We start from the raw sequence: 21,645 nt of genomic DNA on the forward strand, positions 1-21,645 counted from the left end.
AACAATTTACATGCTTTATCAAGTCATTTACATATGAGTAATTTTATCAAAATCTTAAAAAGACTTCCATTCAGAGGACCAGAGAATGGAAGCATGGCTTCTAAACAGATGGCAGTTCTCTCTGGAAGAGTGAGAGTTCTACAGAGGGAGGAACGGTTATTAGATCATAAAGCATTCACCTTTGCAGGAGTTTAATCGGGATCCCTTTTCTTCCACCAGTTAGGCAAGGAAACTGAGTGAGTCCTTTTGCCTACCAACCTCGAAACAGAATATAGCATATCACACAGCAAGAGACAAGATCACTTACTCCTCCAGCTGCTTCTCAACTAGCTGAGGGTAGAGGAAGGACATTTGTGATATAGCTGAAGAATACAAAACTGTACTGGAACAGATAATTCAGCACTCTTGTTTGCTTCACAAAAAGAAAAAAAAAGGCTCAATGCTTCAGAAAAAAAAAAAAAAGATACTGTATTCAGTGGCCTTAGGGACTGCTACAGGAGGTGGGGGAGAAATCAAGTAAAACAGGATACTGTCTCCACTCCCATCTCCCACTAGTCAATCAGGCAGTTATTCTTTATCTTTTTACAAATAATGGCTCTAGAAGGGTTTTGTATGAAAAAAAAATACTTTGAAGTTAACCAAAAACACAAGTTCAAAACTACTAACTAGAAGGTCTGGAAGGCGCCTTCTAGTTCTTAATGCTCAACAGTTTTATGATCTCTTAGACAATCAACTCTGACTTATCACTGAGATCATCAGATTTGGAGCAAACTGTCTAGGATTCTGCTCACTGGTCTGATGATGTCCACCTTTGGATGACATTACATTGGTTTTGGGGAAACACTGACAAACAGAAAAACCAGGTGATACGGCTTCAAATGGCCCTGAGAGAGAATCAATGGAAGTAAAATATTCATCTGAAAGTACTGACAGTCATAAGATATTTGTCAATCGGTAAAATAATTGTAGACTTGGTGAAAATAGCTGGCTACCACTGTAGATGATTACCCTGAAAATAGGGCAATATTACACCAATAGCAGTTCATCTTAATGCAAAAATAGTTAGCTTTGGACGTCACTTAGTAAATAAATTGTGTAGCAATACTTTTAAACCCTGCTAGTCAATATAATAATTAAAAGCCAACACTGATTTTTTAAAAAATTCATTATGATGAAATGAACACTAAGAAGAGCTAAGAGTAAGCTGCTTGAACTTACTGCAACACATGCTACCATCGAAACAGATAAATGGAAGCCTGGAAGTATTCTTCCAAAAGGCTGAACACAGCAAACTGCATTACCTAACCATAGCCTGAGTACTCATTTCCTTTACTGTAATTCTCATGGACTTCATCCAATATCAATTGTGACAAAAGAATCAAGTGAAAAAACAGAATATGTTGGTTTAGGGGATCTTTAATCACATATAAATTCCACCCATAGGAAAAACAAAAATGCTTATTAGTCAGTCAGTTACATATAGCAGAAATGTTACTCTATTGCGTTCACCCAGGGAAAATATATTATCATTTGGTTCAAATATGAAGTATACACTGATTCTGTTCATTAATGCCTTCAGTTCTCTGCAATATAAATTGCAATGTAAATTTGAGTCATCAGTCTAGAAAACATACACTTTACGAGTCTGCTTGTATGGCTGCTGGATTATCTCTTTTGTATAAGCACCTATACATGTGCTGCAAACAGGCAGATGCATGAGCAGATGCATGAGGACAGACTTACCTTTATCCAAAGAGAAGACACTGAACTGAACACTACTAAGTAAGCTTCTCCCTGCCCCAGCACCCACAAATACAACATACACACACACACCAGCATCAAAACAGACAACAAAAACAAAATCCAAATAATAGAAAACAATTTATAGTTGATATTCCATTTAGTCTCAAGGTAGTATTTTCTAAAGAACATTCTCAATTAAGAAACCCTCAGTACCAGATTTGTTTTAAAGGAAGAAAAGTATGGGCATAACTGTGTCCTCAGAAGTCTCCCCACCTGACAGACATCAGAACGGATGCCAGTTTTCCAGAATCCTTGGCTACTTAGCTCCACCGTTACTTCTCGTCTCATTGTATTCTTCTGCCGTATTTTTTGGAGGGCTTCCTAGAAAAGAATTCATTATGATGAGTAACACAACTGCTATAAAGCAATAGTAAGCCAAACATCAAGCATTAGAAAATAAGTTGGATTCATTTAATATTACCCCTACATTCAGATACTCAAACCTCTTCATACAAAATTACAATATTTTCTTTAAAATGGAGGCTGGAATGCTCAAAGCTTGGGGTATAACACAGCCCAGCCTTTCTTGGCAACTAGATAAGAAAAACTCTAAACCAAATCTACCATTCTGGTATTTTTGAACAAAATATGCCCTTTCATTGATAAAGGAAGCAAAATGTGGTTTGGGATTTGAAATGAGCATGTAAAATTTTTATCAAGCCTCATGTTAAGTATTTACCTCTAAGAAAGAAAGCAAATTAACCTGCGACCCACATAATTCTAATAGTTGCCTTCTAACTTGCAAACCCTTATAAAAACTCTTGCTACAATGGCATACTTTATATAAAAAAAGACTATGATCCAAAATATCACCTGTGAGACATGATTAGGAACTAACTCTTCCCTTTCACGGCCCTTCAAATAATTGTAAAAATAATTGTATATTTGCATGCATGCAACTGAATCAAAATCTCATAGGAATTCATAATAACAGGAACCACCCCCACCCCCACTATTGATTAAGTTCCTTTTACAGGCCAAATAGCACAAGAGGCCCATTAAATGGCGTATTTCAGAAGTTCATGGAACTACCTTTTTCCTTGAGTGCACCAACGGAGGAACACTTCAGTCAGCCTCTCAACCTTAGTTCCCTCCTTTATAAACAGGCTGATTGGCCTAAATCACAGTAAGTGACAAAGCCAGAATTCAAACACTTTTTCCAGCTTCAAAGCCTTGCTCTTACACAACCCCAGCAGAATAAAACCTCCCTGAGACAATAATCTATGTTGATACTGAAACCGTTTATTCTTATAATTAAAACTAAAACGTAAGTTATCCTGGATTACAGGGATAATACTACCCATTAGTAAGGAAATATGGAATTTGGGATATGAAACCTTACAAAATAAGTTTACCATACTAAACTGGCAGACCAATGGAAGACAATCTTTTCCAACTTTAAGACCAAGAAATCTGAGTAAGGCCCAATGTTGTATAATGTGCAACCAAATTAAAGATAAAAGGCTGATTCAACAAATTTAAGCTTTAATATCTATAAAAGATATGTTTGATTCCCAGTGGTAATAATCCATTAAGAAACTGGCATTTTAGGGATTGATACAGTTAGGATGTTTTGGCCCCTCCAAATTTCACATTGAAATATGATACCCAATGTGAGAGATGGGGCCTGGTGGGAGGTTTTTGCGTCATGGGTGGATCCCTCAAGAATAGCTTGGTGCCTTCCCCACAGTAATGAGTTCATGTGAGATCTGCTTGTTAAAGAGAGTCTGGGACCTCCCTCCTCCCTCTCTTCCTCCCTCTTCTGTCATATGACGTGCCTGCTCCCCATCCACCTTCTACCATGATTAAAAGCATCCTGAGGCCTCCCCAAAAGCCAAGCAGATGCTGGTGCCATGCTTCTTGTACAGCCTGCAGAAACGTGCACCAAATAAACCTCTTTTCTTTATAAATTACCCAGTCTCAGGTATTCCTTTAGAGGAATGCAAAACAGACTAATACAGGGATAAAAAGGCTCTCTTAAATATTAAAAGATTTTTTAAAATCAATTCGTATAATAATGGGGGGAGGAGGGTAAAGTATGATTTTTTTAAAAAAATATTTTTCCATCTTGTACCAGAAGTATAGTGTGATACAACAATCACGAAATAAACCTGAAGCACATCATCGTTAATCACCAAGGAATGGAGTTTGATACAGACCTCCCTCTGTGCCAGCTTCTGTTTGTCAGTTTGTTTGACTTTGGGACTATTTGCTAGGAGGTGGCGAAGTTTCACATAACTCTTCCACAGTTTTTGGTACCTAAGGAAAAGGACAGGCAAACATCTCAGGTAAAGAGGAGGTAAACCTAAAATGCAACAAAACCAGTTATTTTAAGAGGCCTCTTCAAATCATACATTACATTCTTTTGATTATTCTTAATGGCAGAAAGCCATCATTCTAAGGAAGGCTATGACTTTGAGGCTGAGAGTCAGGATGGACAAGAGTCAACTGGAACCTGGTGATTAAGTTGATTATTGCTTATTTCAGTTGGAAATGAGGTGTGACTATATGAATGAATCTCTGGAAAGAATTCCAAAGACACAAAAACACCTCAACCAAAGGAATCATCCTGTTTCTCACTGTTACCTCTTGAAAATAACAGATTTTATTTAAATATACACTTTCTGATATTTGTTGAAAGAAAGACCCCTTCCTTAGGGAGACTGTCAGTTGCTGAACTACTTATACCAAATATAAGTTGAAGAGTATTAGAATAGAGAACCCCATTTGTGCCAAAACCCAAGCTACATAGCTGTATCCATTTGTCCACTGGAGAGGATAAAAGACTAATGGTGTATACCAATTTGTATTTACCATGACAATATAAGCATATTTGTTGCAGCCAAATAAGTGATAACCTAGACCAGTCTAAAGGATACTGTCAAAGCGTCCTGGAAATGAAGCGAATATGCAGTCCTTTATCAATTCACAGTCCTGCCATCTGAGAGTCCACGAGAGCCTCATCACATTCTACTAACATTTTTCTGACAAGAAGGGATTTTCCAAAGATTTTCTGTCACATTAAAACTGTTCCTTTCTTGGCCTTAGCTGGGCCTCTCCTTTTTTGAAAACTTTTTTTTTTTTTTTTAAGAGAATGGAGGAAAGAAAGAAGTACTTACACAGTGCCTGGTTCACTGCTTCATACTTTTATCCAAAGGGGGAAAAAAAAGAACAAAACCCTTTAGCCTCTTCTAATATATGTCAGCCAGAACTGTATTTATGAATTGAAAATCTCCCATGCCCTTTTCTCCCACTATGAATCCTTTTTAAAAAAAAAAAAAAAATAAGTCAGGAAGCTGTTTGTGTGTTTAGCAAGGTAGGAAATCCAAACAGTCCCGAAGAATCTAATGGTACTATCTCCATTCCCACACATCCTAAATCTTCTCCCAGAAAACACTAACATGCCAGTTGGAAAAATCAAAACGTGGAAAGTTACATCAATCCTAAGAGTCAGAAGTCACGGCTCCTACTTCCAACACAACCTTGACTTTGCATGTGATCTTGAACTCTTAAGATGCCCCCAAAAAGAGAACTCTGCATAAATTCGGCAGTGCTAGGAACCAATATGTGCTACTTTCCTCTAGAGGGCACTGAAAAAATAAAAAATAATAATTATTATTATAAGGATGAATAAAGAAAAAGTTCCTTAAAGTTTAAAAACATACAAGGACTTATGTTGACCAAGTTTGCCAAAAATATTCTATTGAATAATAGTTTCTTGCACTCAAATATGTACAGAAAATAATTCTTCAGGAGCTACCACAATTGTTTCATTTGGGTAATCTAAATTGGAAGTATGGCTCATTTCAGGTCTTAATTTTTAAAAAGGAAACATCCACTAAAGGGTATTTCTCTGCTAATTTGGCTGTTAGTAGAAGGTGAAATTGGCTAAGACAAACACTGAGAAATATCTTACTGTGGGTCTCCTGCATAACTCAACTGTGCAGGGCGTATCCCAAAGTGGACGATAATCGGAAAAGTAATCACATCGGGGTTGAACTGTTCACGATCCAGTTGATCGATACGGACAGAGCTTGGTTTCTAGAGAGAAAAATCAAAGCCATTTATTCCCATAAGAAGTCTTTATGTATTGACTTTAACCTAAGTAGGGAAGGAATAAATCGGACTTTTTTCCAGGAAAGCCTTGTCCCCAAAGGGAAAAGGTCATTTAAAACCCTTTAATTACAGCAGCTATACTATCTAAAAACTATAATGTCATCCTTGTAAATGAGCCTATGCCATTTGGCATAATGAACAATGATTTTGTCCTTTTTTGCAGTCCACATAGAAACCTTTAAAAATTAAACTTTTAAAAGGACACCTAGTCAGATATAACTTTTCCTTAACCTCTCTGAAGGCACAGGGGAAGGATTCCACATCACAGGCAGAGCCTCTTCTGCTTTAATTTCACATTTCAGAATGCACAGATGCCTCTATTTAAGTTTTTTCCCTCACTTGTTCTCAGTGGATCTTATGTATTCCTTTAATTCTACATCTTTAAGTTAGAAAGTATAGTGGTGCAAAGGCCAAATAGTTAAGCTTCTTTTATTATGTCCATGTAGGACATTTGTGTATTTTAACAGAGAGCCTCATATTTTTTTCTTCATGTCTAATAAAGGAAGAAGTGAATGGCTCATTCCTTCTGGATCATTTGTGAAATGGCTTTCATCTTGAAAGCTTAAATTTATGAAAAGATGGTAAAATCACAGAGAACAGGTTTCAGCAACCTCCTTCCTTATAATCACCTCTCAGGACAGTCTCAATTAGAGATTCAGTTTTCACTAGCACACTGTAGAGTCTGCGGCTCAGTTGCTTTGGAGGCTAAGGCTGTTAAAACTGATTCACACAGAGGCCAATAATCTTCATTCTGTCCCACAACAATGCCCAACAATTAGAGTCTGGTTGGCTGCCTGGTTTCCCTGGGACAGAGGAATTTCAATGCTAAAACCAGGAAATCTCTCAGCAACTGGGACAAACTGGTCACTCTACCTACAACTGTGATACCAGCCAGCCATCTGACAAATATTCAATGAGGTGACAAAAGGGATAAACTTGGGTGAATTCACCCACATTACTTAAAACACTCAAACCTTTGGGAGGCCAAGGCGGGTGGATCACGAGGTCAGGAGTTCGAGACCAGCCTGGCCAACATAGTGAAACCCCATCTCTACTAAAAATACAAAAATTAGCCGGGCGTGGTGGCGCACACCTGTAGTCCCAGCTACTCAGGGGGCTGAGGCAGGAGAATCACTTGAACCCGGGAGGCGGAGGTTGTAGTGAGCTGAGATCGCACCACTGTGCTCCAGCCTGGGCAACAGAGTGAGACTCTGTCTCAAAAAACAAAACAAAACAAAAAAAAAACCCCTCAAACTTTTTAAGTGTCATTTAACAAACAAAATGTCACTAGCTTCTTGAAAAGTTGGTCTCTGCTCTCAAAATTTGAAAATGGAAAATATTTTGTTCACATGTAATCCATTATAAAATTATTTAAATGCCCATCAACAGTAGCAACGTGCTATTTAAGGTCAAAGAATTACTTTCATTATTTTGTACAACAAAACAGCAGGATACATTTTTAGAATGCGAACTGTGGAATAGAATGCTATTGAATTATTCATGTTTCTGTGATTTTAAACACCATGCCATGGTACCAACACAGGAAACAGTGATTTAAAATATCTATAGTATCTCTAAATTTATGGCAGGGGTTGAGGGAGCAGGAAATGAAATATATTCTAGACTTTGGCTACACCCTATAACATTTATTATGCCATCTTTGTTTAAGAATAAAAAATGACAAAAGTCACTAATGACAAAAGTATTCCTTGGAAGATTAATTCTTTTAAGTTCTGCAGCAATATAGTATTTAAAGTGACCATAATGGCTTGAAATTTTTAATAAATTTCCCAATATTCTTGCCATTTTGCAATCTTTCAAAGCAAGTCCTACAGAGGATGAAATGTAGTGTGGTGTCTACCTTGTCGTATGAGTAACTTGCACACTTCTCAGTAGGATGTTTTCATAATACTGAATTCTCAAGATTTTTTTCCTCCTTTAAGCATATCTTCAGATAAACAGTATAAAAGAATTAACTTCAACACATTCCTAAGCCTGACACTGAAACTTCCAATAAAAATCTTTCATACTGACTAGGTCTGACTTCATGTTGTTAATACTGGCTTTACAGCATCTCAAGGATGCACAGTTAATCATGCCAATAATTTCTACAATTTCTCAATTCCTCAGAGATCTTACTGTTTAGGAAGCACCCCTGGCAAGCCTATCCCAGTGATAGCTCCTAAAATGAGAGGCTTTCCTGATGCATCCATTGGCTCAACCATTCATCAAAGACTCCTTTCATATGTTAGTGGTCTTTGGGTTTTCACCTGGGCAAGCATCATACATTAGTTTGGTGCAAAAATAGTTGCGGTATGGCAGACCCCCGCAACTACTTTTGTGCCAGCCTAACATATAACTTCACTAGCACCTGGCTCATATAGTAGTCCCTTGACAAATTAGTTGAATGATGATCATGGTGATCATAAACTTCATCTATGCCACTGGCTCAAAAACAAGCAGTGAGAAAATCAAACGTTTGAGGATTTTTTTTTAACTACAGAAAACTGGGCCTCACTGCCTGGAGTATATAAGGTAGCTATATCCTTAAGCCAGGGTATCCTTAAGTTTTTTTTTAAACTCTCCAGCTGATTCTAGATTTCAGGAAAACGTAACTATACCATGGAAGGAAGTCCAGGGTGAACGTGCTCCCCCCGTGTCTACCACAGAACATGGAACTCTCCAAGTGGAACCACCCAGCTGAAACTGGACATCTGCCACCACCACCGCCCCATCCTCTGACTCAGCATGAAAAGTGACAGAGGGAATATCAATATATGCAACTGTTTTAAGAATAAAAATAGAATTCACAGTCTTACTCTGAGAGTGTTATTACTTACATATTTCTTTTAAAGTTACTTTAATAATTATGTGGCTTAACAGTATAACAGTAAAAATTATACGATTTTCTGGTTTTAAACATGTTTTATGTTTAAACATATTTTTATTAAACAATTTTACTTTCTGGATTTGTTTAAAAGAATCCATACTAGCCAGAATGTTTTATTTGCAAATAGCAACATTTTGTTTGTGCAGATGTTACTGTCATGCTACAAAAAGTAGATCCAGAGTTTTTAGTTTATGAATCAAAGCTATTAAGCAATTGGCAGCTTTTTGGAAAACAACAGCTTTGTTAAGTAGATTATTCCATTTATTTTCACGGAAATATTTTAATTCTTCATTTCTATAAAATTTTATCCTTATAAGATGCCAACATATAACTATTTTATGAAACAGTAACACTAATTTAGAAGAAAAAAATTGATATAAAGAAAATGTTATGTCTTTATATAAGAACTAGTTTTCTTTTAATTATATCCTTTTAATGTTTGCATTTTTTACTTCTAAAATTGAATATTAAAAGCTAATTTTAAAACAAAAAACTTAAGTAGCACCCAAAGAAATGTAAAATATTTATAATAATTATGGCGGAGGATCAATAAAAAAGAAGGCTACAAAAAAGATCAAAGGATATTAACAAGCAATTAACAAAAGAAAACATGAATGGGCAATAAACATTTAGAAATCAAAATAAATACAAAACTGAACTAAGACATTTCCCGCCCCCCAACTCTCATCAAATTCCCTTAGTATAACCAGCATGAAGATATGGTTGCTCTCATATGCTCCCAGAGTACAAATTTTACAGCCCTTCTGGAAAGCAATCTGCAACATGCGTCAAAAGCCTTAAAAATGTACCTATCTTCAGGTAGAATAAATTTACTAAATTAGGTGAATTTACGACCAAATATGCCTAAATTGTAATATTTTCTTATTTACTAAATATTTAAAGGAAAAATTATCCAAGGACAAGAGCAGTGACTACCTAAAACTTTTAAAATGTGCTGTTACTGTTTTCATGAAACATTCAGATCTGGAAAAGAAGGTCCTCCAGCCTCTGAATATACAGACACCAGAACATACCGTCCCAGGGTTGGTAACAATCATGCCTTTGCATTCTTCTGCATATTTCTGCCACTCCAGCTCCTCCCACTGAAGCATATTGGCAATCTCCTCCTCAGGCACCAGGGCTTTGCTGCACCTTAACAAGTACAGGAGAATCTGGTGCATGGACAGCACTTCCTTTCCTCCATCTTGGGTGGGAATGGGAGTGGAGAGAAGGGGAAAAATAAGGCTACTCAACTTACAGCAAATCAACAACTGAATAAGGAAAAAAACAAGACAATGGAGGAAAAAGAGCACATACAAAAAGGTAATGTAAAATTTACACTGTTTAACCAGGTGCCAAATAATATGAAAGCCATTTGTTTCATTGATGAACAGTGCTCATAAACCATCTCATTTACTAAATTGGCAACAACAACATTATAAATGATAAAAGGCTCCATTTGTGAGGTATGAATATAAAAAAGGTGCCTATCTAAATAAATTTAAAGCCACCTAGCATAAATAACCATAGTTTATAATATACAGAACCATGTTAGGTCTTAAATATTTTATCATTCTTTCTGAGGTAACAGATGAAAGCTCTTTAGAAGTGATGTTACTGTCTTAAGGAAATTCTAAGCTTTTGTGAGATATTTATGGATGTCTTCAATAAGCTGTTGTTGCATTATGGTCTAATTTTTTGGTGCTAATGTGCTGCACCTGCCATGATGAACAGAGCTAAAGAGCCTGTGCTAATATCATGGAAGATCATTATGGAGTTAGTACATGGAAAAAAAACCAAGTGCTCTGAGGCCTACAGAAGCATATAGCACCAAGTACAGGGGATAAAAATAACAAAGGGCATCATTCAAGTACCTTGGAAAAAGCCAATTAATCTAGTATTTGATGAACTAAAGACATCCACTTCATTTGGGCATTAATGTGGGGTCCACAGGCTTCTGCCTTCTCTTTGGACTTAACTTCTGGACCAACATGGGCAACCATTTTATATCTCTTTTCTTTGCCTACACCCAACCAAACAAAGGACAAGAGCCCTGAAGAGGACAATCATTACCCTCTCCCAGGTTATGAGATAGGCTATGAACAGTAGTACAGGACCAAACACTTCAGGGAGAAAGAAAGGGACAAAGAGCACAAGATGGCAGCAATGGGATGGCACAAAAGAGAGTGTCCTCCTTGGTCAGAGGAATTAGTGGCACCCAGTTTGAGTCTGGTGCACTAAACAAGTTTAATGTGAATTGCTGTGGGCTAAGAACTTAAACAAGACTGCATGTCTGAGAGAAAAGAGAGAAAATATCAACATTTCTGTGTGAGCTGTGTTCCTCCATCTGAGATGTTACTCTGGAACTAGACCACATTGCTGTTCTACAGCCAATATATATGTAGGCATGCATTCACTCATTCATCCAAATATTCATTCATTCAACAAATATTTATTGAGTGCCTTTTATGTAACAGCCACCGTTCTAGGCCCTGAGAACACAGCAATGATGGAAACAGCCAAAGCCTTGCCTTCCTGAAGCTTCTACTGCAGTAGAAAGAGACAATATAAAAGAGCTACATAAAAGATCAGGTTGAGGTGAGTGCTACAAAGAAGAATCAAACAGGACAAGGAACTAGAGTTGTATCTAAAAGGATGGATAAGAAAGGAATCTTCTAAGAGGTTTCACGTAGGCAAAACTTGAAAGGAGCAAGGGAGGCTACCATGCAGCAGTCTGGAAGAGGAGAAGAAAGAGCAAATGCCCTAAGGTGGAGTGGAACTGTTGTGCCTAGGAACTGCAAAGAGGCCACTGTGGATGGTGTGAAGTCAGAAGAATGTGAGAGAGGCAGCAGGGAAGTCAGATCTTACAAAGCTTTACCGCTCATTAAGAGCTCTGGAGTTGACTCTGAGATGGGAGCATGTTTTTCACCATATGTGCCATGCACTGTGAGTGGTCCCATGTCAGTATCACTAGGGAAAAAAATGCCACAAGCTCTAGGCGCTCAGGAAGCACATAGGCTAATAATGATTGATCACAATGGTTCCTAAATGAATCTTTGTAGATAACACTCAGAAAATAAAGTTCTTTTAATCAAAGTTCTAAAGACACTGTGCTTCTAAAAAATAATAATGATTGTCCAAGAAGTGACAAAGTCACAAAATACATCAACCCACATTAAGATATGTTATATCTACTAATTCGTAGCAGTGACTTTTTTTTATGCCTCATTACAAAGCAACTGCCTTAAATGCAAAAGTCATCAGTAATAAGCTAACTTCCATAGTGTTATGGACTCAATGTTTGTGTTCCCCCAAATTTCATATATTAAAGTCCTTTTTTTTTCTTTTTTCTTTTTGATTCAGGGTCTCTGTCATCCAGGCTGGAGTGCAGTGATGCCATCACGGCTCATCGCAGCCTCAACCTCCTGGGCTCAGGCAATCCTCCCATCTCAGCATCCCAAGTAGCTGGGACTACAGGCTTGTGCCACCAGGCCTGGCTACTTTTTTAATTTTTTTGTAGAGACAGGGTCTAATTATGTTGCCCAGGCTGTTCTCCAATTCCTGGGATCAAATGGCCCTCCCACCTTAGCCTCCCAAAGTGCTGGGATTACAGTGTGAGCCACGGCACCCAGCCATATATTAAAATCTTAACCCCCAGTATGATGATATTAGGAGGTGGGGCCTTCAGAGGTAATAAGGTCATGAAGGTAGAGCCCTCATAAATGGGATTAGTGCCCTTACAAGAAACATGAAAGAGCTTGCTTCCTCTCTCTTTTATCCACCAGGTGAGGATATAAGAAGATGGCTGGCTGTGAAACAGTAAGAGGACCTTCATCAACAACCCAACCACGATGATGCCCTGATCTCAGACTACCAGCCTCCAGGACTGTGAGAAATAAGTGTTTGTTGTCTAAGCCACCAATCTATAATGTTTTTGTTAGTACAGTTCAATCGAAGACACATAGCTAGGGGCATATTTCTCCAAGTCAGTCTCAAAACACATTTCCACCTGGGCATGGTGGCTCACGCCTGTAATCCCAGCACTTTGAGGGGCCAAGGTGAGCAGACTGCTTGAGCTCAGGAGTTCAAGGCTAGCCTGGGCAGCATGGCAAAACCCCTCTCTACAAAAAAATACAAAAATTAGCCAGGCATGGTGGTACACACTGGTGGTCCCAGCTGCTCAGGAGGCTGAGGTGGGAGGATCACCTGAGCCCTGAAGGTTGAGGCTGCAGTGAGCCGTAACTGTGCCACTTCACTCCAACCTGGAGAACAAAGTAAGACCCTGTCTCAAAAAATAAAATAAAATAATAAAAACACATTCCAATCCACCTGCTTGTGACATGTGTTCCTCAATCAGTAATGTTCCTCTCTTTGCTAAGGAGCCCAGCAAACCCACAATACCTGTCTCTCAGTCTGAGTCCATGATAATCACCAATTTTCTAAGGGGACTGAGGTGAACAGGTGGATGAGAAAATTCTAATGCCAGAATACGTTGTCTATACACTTCACATGCATACACACAGAACAGCAGGAATAAAGGAAACCTAGAGAACCTTGGAAAGAACTGCCACACTAACTAGGTTCACTAGGAACTAAGGAAAGAAGAAAATAGTTTTTGGCTTATAATGCCTATACTTGGTGAGATTACTTAAGAGTACCAGGGACTTTAAGGACACAATAGGGGTCTAAAATACCGTAAGAAGGAGCAGAATGTTGCTTTGTGTAAGAATTAGAAAAAAGATTCATATTTTCATGGAGGGAGAGGAGGATGACGGAGGGAGTAAATATACACAGGTCCAGGTATATAAAACAGCACTACAATCTCCACACATACATTTACAGCTGCCTGACTCCATGGCACTTCAGATAAAAGGGAAATGGACTGGGGAGAGCAAATTTAATGTGAAAAGACTTTTAAAAGAGCTAGTGGGAGAGAGGAATACTTAAGACTACAAACCAAGACTCACTTAAAGGCTTCATTTCTGTAGAAAATGATTAGTATAGATACTGTCCAATTTAGGAAAGGCACAACTAGATTAAGAAATAAGGCCATTGGCCGGGTGGGGTAGCTCACGCCTGTAATCCCAGCACTTTGGGAGGCCAAGGTGGGTGGATCACCTGAGGTCAGGAGTTCGAGACCACCCTGGCCAACGTGGCAAAACCCTGTCTCTATTAAAAATACAAAAATCAGCCAGTCATGGTGGCAGACTCCTGTAATCCCAGCTACTCAGGAGGCTGGGGCAGGAGAATCGCTTGAATCTGGGAGGCAGGGATTGCTGTAAGCCGAGACTGTGCCACTGCACTCCAGCCTGAGTGACAGGGTGAGACTCTCTATCAAAGAAAGAAAGAAAGAAGATCACAAGGTGCTTATAAGAATGCCAGTTATCCACCTTCTTATTTAGGTACAACGCTAATGATGAGGCAGAAGCGAGTCACATAGCAGCATAGAAACAAGACATAATTAAAAATATACATATACACACATCAGGTGCAAAGTTAACAACACTGAAGGAGAAACCACAAATCCATGTTGAAATCTGCTAAATATTTTAAATGGCAACTAAACCTTAAAGAGATTTTATTTACCACTGTAAAAAAGTAGAAACTCAGGGCAGATAACCTGAGGTGAAAGGTATCTCAAGGAAGGGGGATTGAGACTCTGCTCCCTGTCTGGTTTTGGGGCTCGATTTCCATGGAAAGGTAAGAGGAGATCCATAAATTAGAGACTCCTGCCAGAGCCCACAGGGCATGGGCTATATCTCTCACACCCAGCCTGGCAAAAAGACACTCCATAAACATTTGTGGAATGACTTTCTAAAGCAGACTAATAACTTGGCCACTCGCACTCAGGCTGCCATGAATTCACTAATGTTAATGAATTGGCTCTTTTGGTTTGTCTGCCTTGCCACTTGTTTATGTTGGGGATTTATGGAGCCATGTCACTGAGGGCTAGGAAGTAATTTTTATCTTGTTGGCTGAAATAAATAGGACATGATATAAATGAGAAATGAGAGCGGGTAAGCTAAGGTTAGCAGGAATTCCGCCAACTCTGGGACTGGAACTGTGACAACAGCTCATTATTCGGGAAGAACTGGAGTTTGTGTTTCAGGGAATGAATCTGGACAGTCATTAATGAACTGACAGACTTTATAAACTGTTTCTTAGAGACCCAATTCTCTCAGTTTATATTGCTTGATTATTTATATGGTTATTTGGGGAGGGGGTAATTTGTTAGAGAATCTGTATTAAGAATATGGCTGCTTATAAGAGTATTTCTCAACTGTTAGTACTCAACTTTAAGAAATACAAAAATATTATCCCCTTTCTCTACACTGACAGTAACTGTATGACTGCGTTTCTGTGTCTTCTGGATATTCCTGCTGAGACATCCTAATAATCTTATTTTCTAAAATACGTATTAACAAGTCTTTTCTAAATTTTCCAAATGTATATTAAGTTGTGGTACTAATAGATGGTTTTGCAAACTACACTTGCCTCCTGGAAATTTTGCAATACTCTCCCACCTCCTGGCCCCCTGCCAGCCACACCTGAGAACTACTGCTCCAGATGGGGCAATTTCAAAGAATCAATTTTCTAGACAGTCAATTTGCAAAACTGATTCAGGATTTGCAATGCTTTACTAGGGCAGTAATATAAGCAATGAGTAGGCTTTCCCCTAAGTGTGATCTCACTATCTTGAATCACGACCTACCTTTGCCCCAGTTACACTCAGAATAAAACCTTATACTCAGTCTAGTTCATATCAACTATTTTGCGACCAAAGGTAGAGAGTGGGATAGGAAAGAAACAAAAATTTGAGAAAAAATTTTAAATCTCAATAAACTGATTGCTCTATGATTTGGTTTCTGGTAAACTGGTCAACATTGAATAATCCTTGGTTTAAACTATCAAGCTTACTTTTGGGTAAAGTTGTATAAAGCAACTGGGACAGCTATCTTCAAAAGGGATAAACTGAAGAATTAGAGAAATATGATGATGACTTATAAAACTTGAATTTTCAGTTAGATATTATAATAAACTGACATAAACAAAAAGCAAGTCAGAATGAGAAAACCATAAAATACCTGAAAAATGCGGAAAGTTACTCATTCTCAAAGAAGTTCAAGAAACATGCAAATAGTAACATCAGACTTTTCGCTTATCAGATGGACTAAACCAGGAATGTCCAATCTTTCAGCTTCCCTGGGCCACAGTGGAAGAATTGTCTTGGGCCACACATAAAATACACTGACACTAACGACAGCTGATGAGATTAAAAAGAAAAATCCAAAAAAAACTCAAAATGTTTTACGAAAGTTTACGAATTTGTGATGGGCCACATTCAAAGCCGTCCTGGGCCATATGTGGCCCATGGGCTGTGGGTTGGACAAGCTTGGACTAAACTGTAAAAGACTAGTAACATCCTGGCCAGGTGTGATGGCTCACGCCTTTAATCCTAGCACTTTAGGAGGCTGAGGCGGGCAGACCTGAGGTCAGGAGTTCGAGACCAGCCTGACCAACATGGCAAACCCCTGTCTCTACTAAAAATACAAAAATTAGCCAGGCATGGTGGCAGGTCCCTGTAATCTCAGCAACTTGGGAGGCTGAGGCAAGAGAATCGCTTGAACCCGGGAGGCAGAGGTTGCAGTGAGCCGAGATGGCACCACCGCACTCCACCCTGGGTGAGAAGAGTGAGACTCTGTCTCAAAAAAAAGACTAGTAACATCCAGTATTGGCAGGTGTATAGAAAAAGAGTACTTTCTGTTGGTCAGAAAGAGTACTGTTGGTCAGAACTACAAATTGGTATGTCCTTTCTAGAGAAAACTTGGCCAACATCATTCTGAATTTAAAATGTACATACTATCTTAACACATAATTTCACTACTAGAACTCTACCTTACAGAAACAAACAAATGCAACAGGATAGACACAGACTATTTCTGAAGCATTTATACAAAATGGGGAAACAATGGAGAACTCCAGAATATTTGTCACCATAGGAATTATAAACAAATTAATGTCCATCCATACTATAAAATGCTAAGTATGCATCAAAGAATGAAGCAAAGCATTTACAGTACAGAGAATGCCTGAAGTATCTGAGTTTAAAAAAAAAAGGAAGTTGTGTAACATATTGTTATTCCACTTGAAGAAAAAAAGCATAATTCTCCTTAAAGCAGTTAAAACAATACAAATCAAGCCATTTACAGCATTTACCCATTTTCACATGTTCAGAAGGAAGTGTTCACTGTTTTTACTTTACATACTTTTGTATTGTTTGTATACACACACATACACACAGAGTCAACTCAATCAAAAGCAAAAGCAACACTTCAATTTTCTAAAGAAAGAAATTGTTCTTTTCAATAAATGGTGCTGGGTCAATTGGATACCCACGTTGAAAATACTGAGTTTTGACCCATATCTCATACGAATTGTGAAAACAAATTCAAGACTGATTACAGCTCTGAAAGTGAAGAAAATATAAGTGAGTATCTTGACTTTAGGGTAGGCGAAAATTTCATAAATATGATACAAAAAGCTCTAATCATAAAGGAATATATATCTATAAATTGGACTACATAAAAATTAAGAATTTCTATTCAACAAAAATCATCAAGAAGATCAAAAAGCAATCTACAGAGAAGGTATTAGATATATATATATTCATGACATTTATATTCATGTTCTATATTCACTATATATAACATATATTCACTATATATCTGTATCTGTATATTTGAATAGCATATGTACGTTCACCAAAGACATGTACGTGTTGTTTAGTGAGCATATATACATATTTTTCTGTTACATATATACCATACCAGGTGGAATTCTGGCTGTGTGTATATTAAGCTTTGTAGACACTTTCAGTTCTCCAAAGTGACTGTACTGTTTTACCTTCTCATTAACAGTGTATGAAAATTCAAGTTATTTCACATTCTCACCACTTGGCATTTATTTTTTCTTTGTCAATTTAGCCATTCTGATGTGTGTTCAGAAGTATCACATTGTGATTTTAATTTGCATTCTCCTAATGACTAATAAAATGGAGCACTATTTCATATATTTATTAGGTACCTAGATAGTGTTTTTTTTAAAGTGCTCATTCAAGTCTTTTGCCCGTTTTTCTATTGGCAATGTCAGTATATATATATATATATATATATATACTGAAAATACTCAAATGTCCATTAATCATAGATAGGTTTATTTTAATTTAGTCATCCCATATAATACTATATAGTAGTGAGAATGAGCCAACTACAGTTAAGTGCAACAGGATATGATTCTGAAATACATTAAACAAAAGACAGAAGCAAAACAGAATATAAAATTCTAGTTTTTATAGTTCAAAAACAGGTAAAACTAATACATGGTGTTTCAAGTCAGAATAGCGGTTACCCTTGAGGGTCTCAGCAGCGACTGGAAAGGGGTCCGAAGGGGGTTCTTGGAAGCTACTAATCTTGATCTGGGTGCTGGGTGGATGGTCATATTCACTTTGTAAAAACTCACTAAGGTCCTATATTCATGATCCATGCACTTTTCAGTATTTATGTTATAGTTCAACCAAAAGTTTACTTTATAAAAATGAGAGATAATACCAAAGACTATTTGAAAAGCACACTCACTAGTAACCAAAAACATGAATACTTAGATAAGGCATTATTATGACCAATTAAATAAAATCAGTAAACAAGCATTTACTGCGTCCCTGCTATGTGCCATGAAGTATGTTAGCACTAGTGATACAACAAGACAGACAAATGTTTACTCTTCAGCCTCATGGAACTCACCACTGAAATTTTTTAAAAGGAAGAAAGAAAGGAGAGAAGGAAGATGGGAAAGGCAAAATGCTAAAAATGAATAATAATGCATTTTTCATGGCAGCACAAACTGATGTTATTCTTTTGACAAGAAATTTGGCACTATATATCACAATCTTTAAAAATATCCATCTGCTCAATGAATTATTAAAAAATAGATGCAAATCATATACTAGTAGATGACAACTACGTAAAAAAAACCCTTCTGCACAGAAAAAAATGAAAATATATATCAAAATGTTTTTTTTTAATTCACCATTTTCTAAAAGATCTTTAACAAAGTCACATTATGAATAACAAATCAACCGTAATTTCCTATCTAATACCAAAATGCATTTTATACATCAGGTATTTTTCTGTATCCTTCGGGGTCTTCTTAGTATGTATATTTTCAAAGGGGAGTCTAATGAAAAGGTAAACCCTGTTTAAAAACAAATCAATAGACCTTTTTCTTTATGACAACCTAAATGTTATCCCCACATAGTTACGTGAGAGTTGAAATCTCACAAAGTAAATATCCAACAGCAGATTTTTCTTTAAGGTGATTTTAAAACTGCCCACTTTCTCTCAGACATCTGTTTGGTCATAAAACGCCTACAGGAAAGTAGATATAGAAAGGAAAAGGCTTTTCAGCAAATTCACTCTAACACCATTTTCTAATAAGTTTACTGTTGAAGCTCCATTCTAAAATCAAAAGATTCATTCACCAGAAGAGAAGAAACGGCATCTCAATAAAACAAAACCAGATATAAAAAGGAGAAAAGCCTTTGAATGCATTTCTAAACAAAATAAACATGAACAGTAATACTAAAAATCTGAGTAATGCTAACCTAAAATAAACTAAGCCATTTTGACTGCCTGGACTGAGGAAAGAGTATCAGGAAAAAATCTTGAGAAAAATCTAAACCAGACAGAGTAGACAAGAAACTAAAGCCACACAAGAGGAGTCAAAGAGACAGGAGGAAAGTAAGGAGCACCCAGGCACCAGAGCAGGGAAGAGACTAACACTGAGGCACATGCTCTGCACTTGGTCTGTAGGAGGCTGCCTCTGGCATCGGCAGCTACAGTGGGCTAGGGACAGTTAGAGAGGGTCTGGCACTGAAGCAAAACTTGGCTGTGAATGGACAAGGGCACTGGAGGAAGCCAGACTCCGACAGGCTCACTGCAGGGCTCTCAGGCATGAGGGAGACAAGGGCTCCTGCCCAAGGGAGACAGGGGCTTCTGCCCATGGGAAGACAGGAGGCATAAGGAGGACAGCACAAACACAGCACTGAAATTCTTTAACTGCTGATATTGGGTGGAAAGGTTACACGAAGAAAAGCTCCCCAACCAAGATTATAGACCACAGATTTATAGCAGCAGCTATGTTTTACTCTTCAGTATTACTGAGTGGCCCATATATAGAAGAAAAGGCAAGCAGTTGGATTGATGACATTAACTCGGAGATGATGGCCATACAGGCAGCTAAGACAGCTAGAACTGACAGGGTAAACATCAGAGCACAGGACCTGGTGGGGAAGGCAAAGGAAAGTAGCCATACATAAGGAGAAGAGGGAAGATCCAAGTAGATGCAAAGGCAATAGGGACATGAGAGGCTAGACTGAAGGATGTCACCAGAAAGTGAGATAATGGAGTCAAATTCTAGGGAGAAATTAATGTAGGTTGGTGGCATGGTCCAAGGTTTTATCTTAAGATTAAGCGGCTGAGTGGTGACAATCCTTACAGTAGAAAAAGTCAAATAATTATATAGCTCAGGGTAGAATGGTAAGTGAAGTTCACCAGGCTGGTAACAGAACCTTGTGGAGAGAGGAAACTGTAAGCCAGGTTTCACAGCATTTGATAAAGCAGGTAATTGACTAGGAAATAAATAAAGAAGGAGTGGGAATAGGGTGCCAGAAGCCTCAAGGAGAAAGATTTGCAAACAAAAAGGCAACCAAAAGATTTCATTAAAAATACTTTTTTTTTTTTTTTAATTTTTAGAGATAGGGCCTTGCCATGTTGCTCAAGCTGGTCTCAAACCCTCACTGGGCTCAAGCGATCCTTCCTTCTCAGCCTCCCAAATAGCTGAGACTATAGGTACATGTCACTAAACTGACTCCAAGCATTTTTAAAAACACTAAATATAATGCCAAATATTACAGGTGGATTCTTTTTAAAAAATTAGAAAACAGTTAAAATATTGCTTTAAAAAACTGTCATATATTTCCCTATATTTTATTGGGAGAAAAAATTATTTTATACCTTTTTTTCACTGTAAAATGAATTCAAGCACATGTCAAAAGATAAGAAAAAATCACTATAATCCTACTACCTTAATGTAACTATTATTACAGTAATTTTTTCAGCAGTTATAATCATATTGCATTTAAATTTTTTTATTGTTTTCCAATTAGCCATATGCATTTTTTAAGCCACAATCATTTCTCCACATTAACACACCCGCATGATATTTTGTCAAGTAGATTTCTAAAATTTATAAATCTGTTCTTCCATTGTTCATCTAATTTGGACTACCATAATTTATGCAGGGATATAAATCCACATGTATAATTTTACATTTCCGTGCCTAACCTGAGAAGTAGATAATTAACAGTATCGAAGGTGGGAAAGTTGTCCCTGAAGACTGAAAGGAAAATGGCAAGCTTATTTTCAGATGCACTATCTCACCAGGTCACTGACAAGCCAGAAGATTTACCTGGAAGAAATCTTACAAAACGTGGCATGAAATGAAATCTTGGGCAGCAGGGAGGGCTGTCTTCAAACAAAGGACCTGAAGCAAACAAATGAGAAAAAAAAAAAAAAAAGAAAACTCAGTCTTAAAAAACAAGCACTGCAACTTAATTTCTAAGATTTATGATAACCACAAAAACTACCACCAGAAGTAGAGGCATAAAAATTACCACCACCTCCTGCCACTCCTCCTCAGTGGCTAAATCAATCATTGGTAACTGCCACAAGCACCCAAGGAAGACTGCAATGAGGAGACTACAGGAAGGCAAGAAGAGG

The 21,645-nt window shown here is 37.7% G+C and overlaps 1 protein-coding gene across 3 annotated transcripts in view, besides 1 other annotated feature; it reads right to left on the reverse strand.

Annotated features, from left to right (window-relative positions):
* Nucleotides 1-21,645, reverse strand: part of DROSHA (drosha ribonuclease III) — a 131,600-nt gene that overhangs the window by 61,726 nt on the left and 48,229 nt on the right. For all 3 annotated transcript variants that reach the window (NM_013235.5, NM_001100412.2, NM_001382508.1), the window contains 5 exons: nt 21,335-21,409; nt 9,844-10,013; nt 5,720-5,844; nt 3,963-4,062; nt 2,017-2,124 (listed from right to left, as the gene is read on the reverse strand). In NM_013235.5, the coding sequence (NP_037367.3) occupies nt 2,017-2,124; nt 3,963-4,062; nt 5,720-5,844; nt 9,844-10,013; nt 21,335-21,409 (578 nt within the window). The remainder of the gene's footprint in view (nt 1-2,016; nt 2,125-3,962; nt 4,063-5,719; nt 5,845-9,843; nt 10,014-21,334; nt 21,410-21,645) is intronic.
* Nucleotides 5,329-5,498: an enhancer, noted in NCBI's record as "experimental_84469 CRE fragment used in MPRA reporter constructs". NCBI's record gives its function as "activates a minimal promoter by MPRAs in K562 erythroleukemia cells, with activity observed for both the introgressed and non-introgressed 5:31467740 variant alleles {active_cell/tissue: K562}" and the evidence as "EXISTENCE:reporter gene assay evidence [ECO:0000049][PMID:34662402]".

The sequence above is a fragment of the Homo sapiens genome, chromosome 5 (genome assembly GCF_000001405.40).
Source record: "Homo sapiens chromosome 5, GRCh38.p14 Primary Assembly".
Classification (NCBI taxonomy): Eukaryota; Metazoa; Chordata; class Mammalia; order Primates; family Hominidae; genus Homo; species Homo sapiens.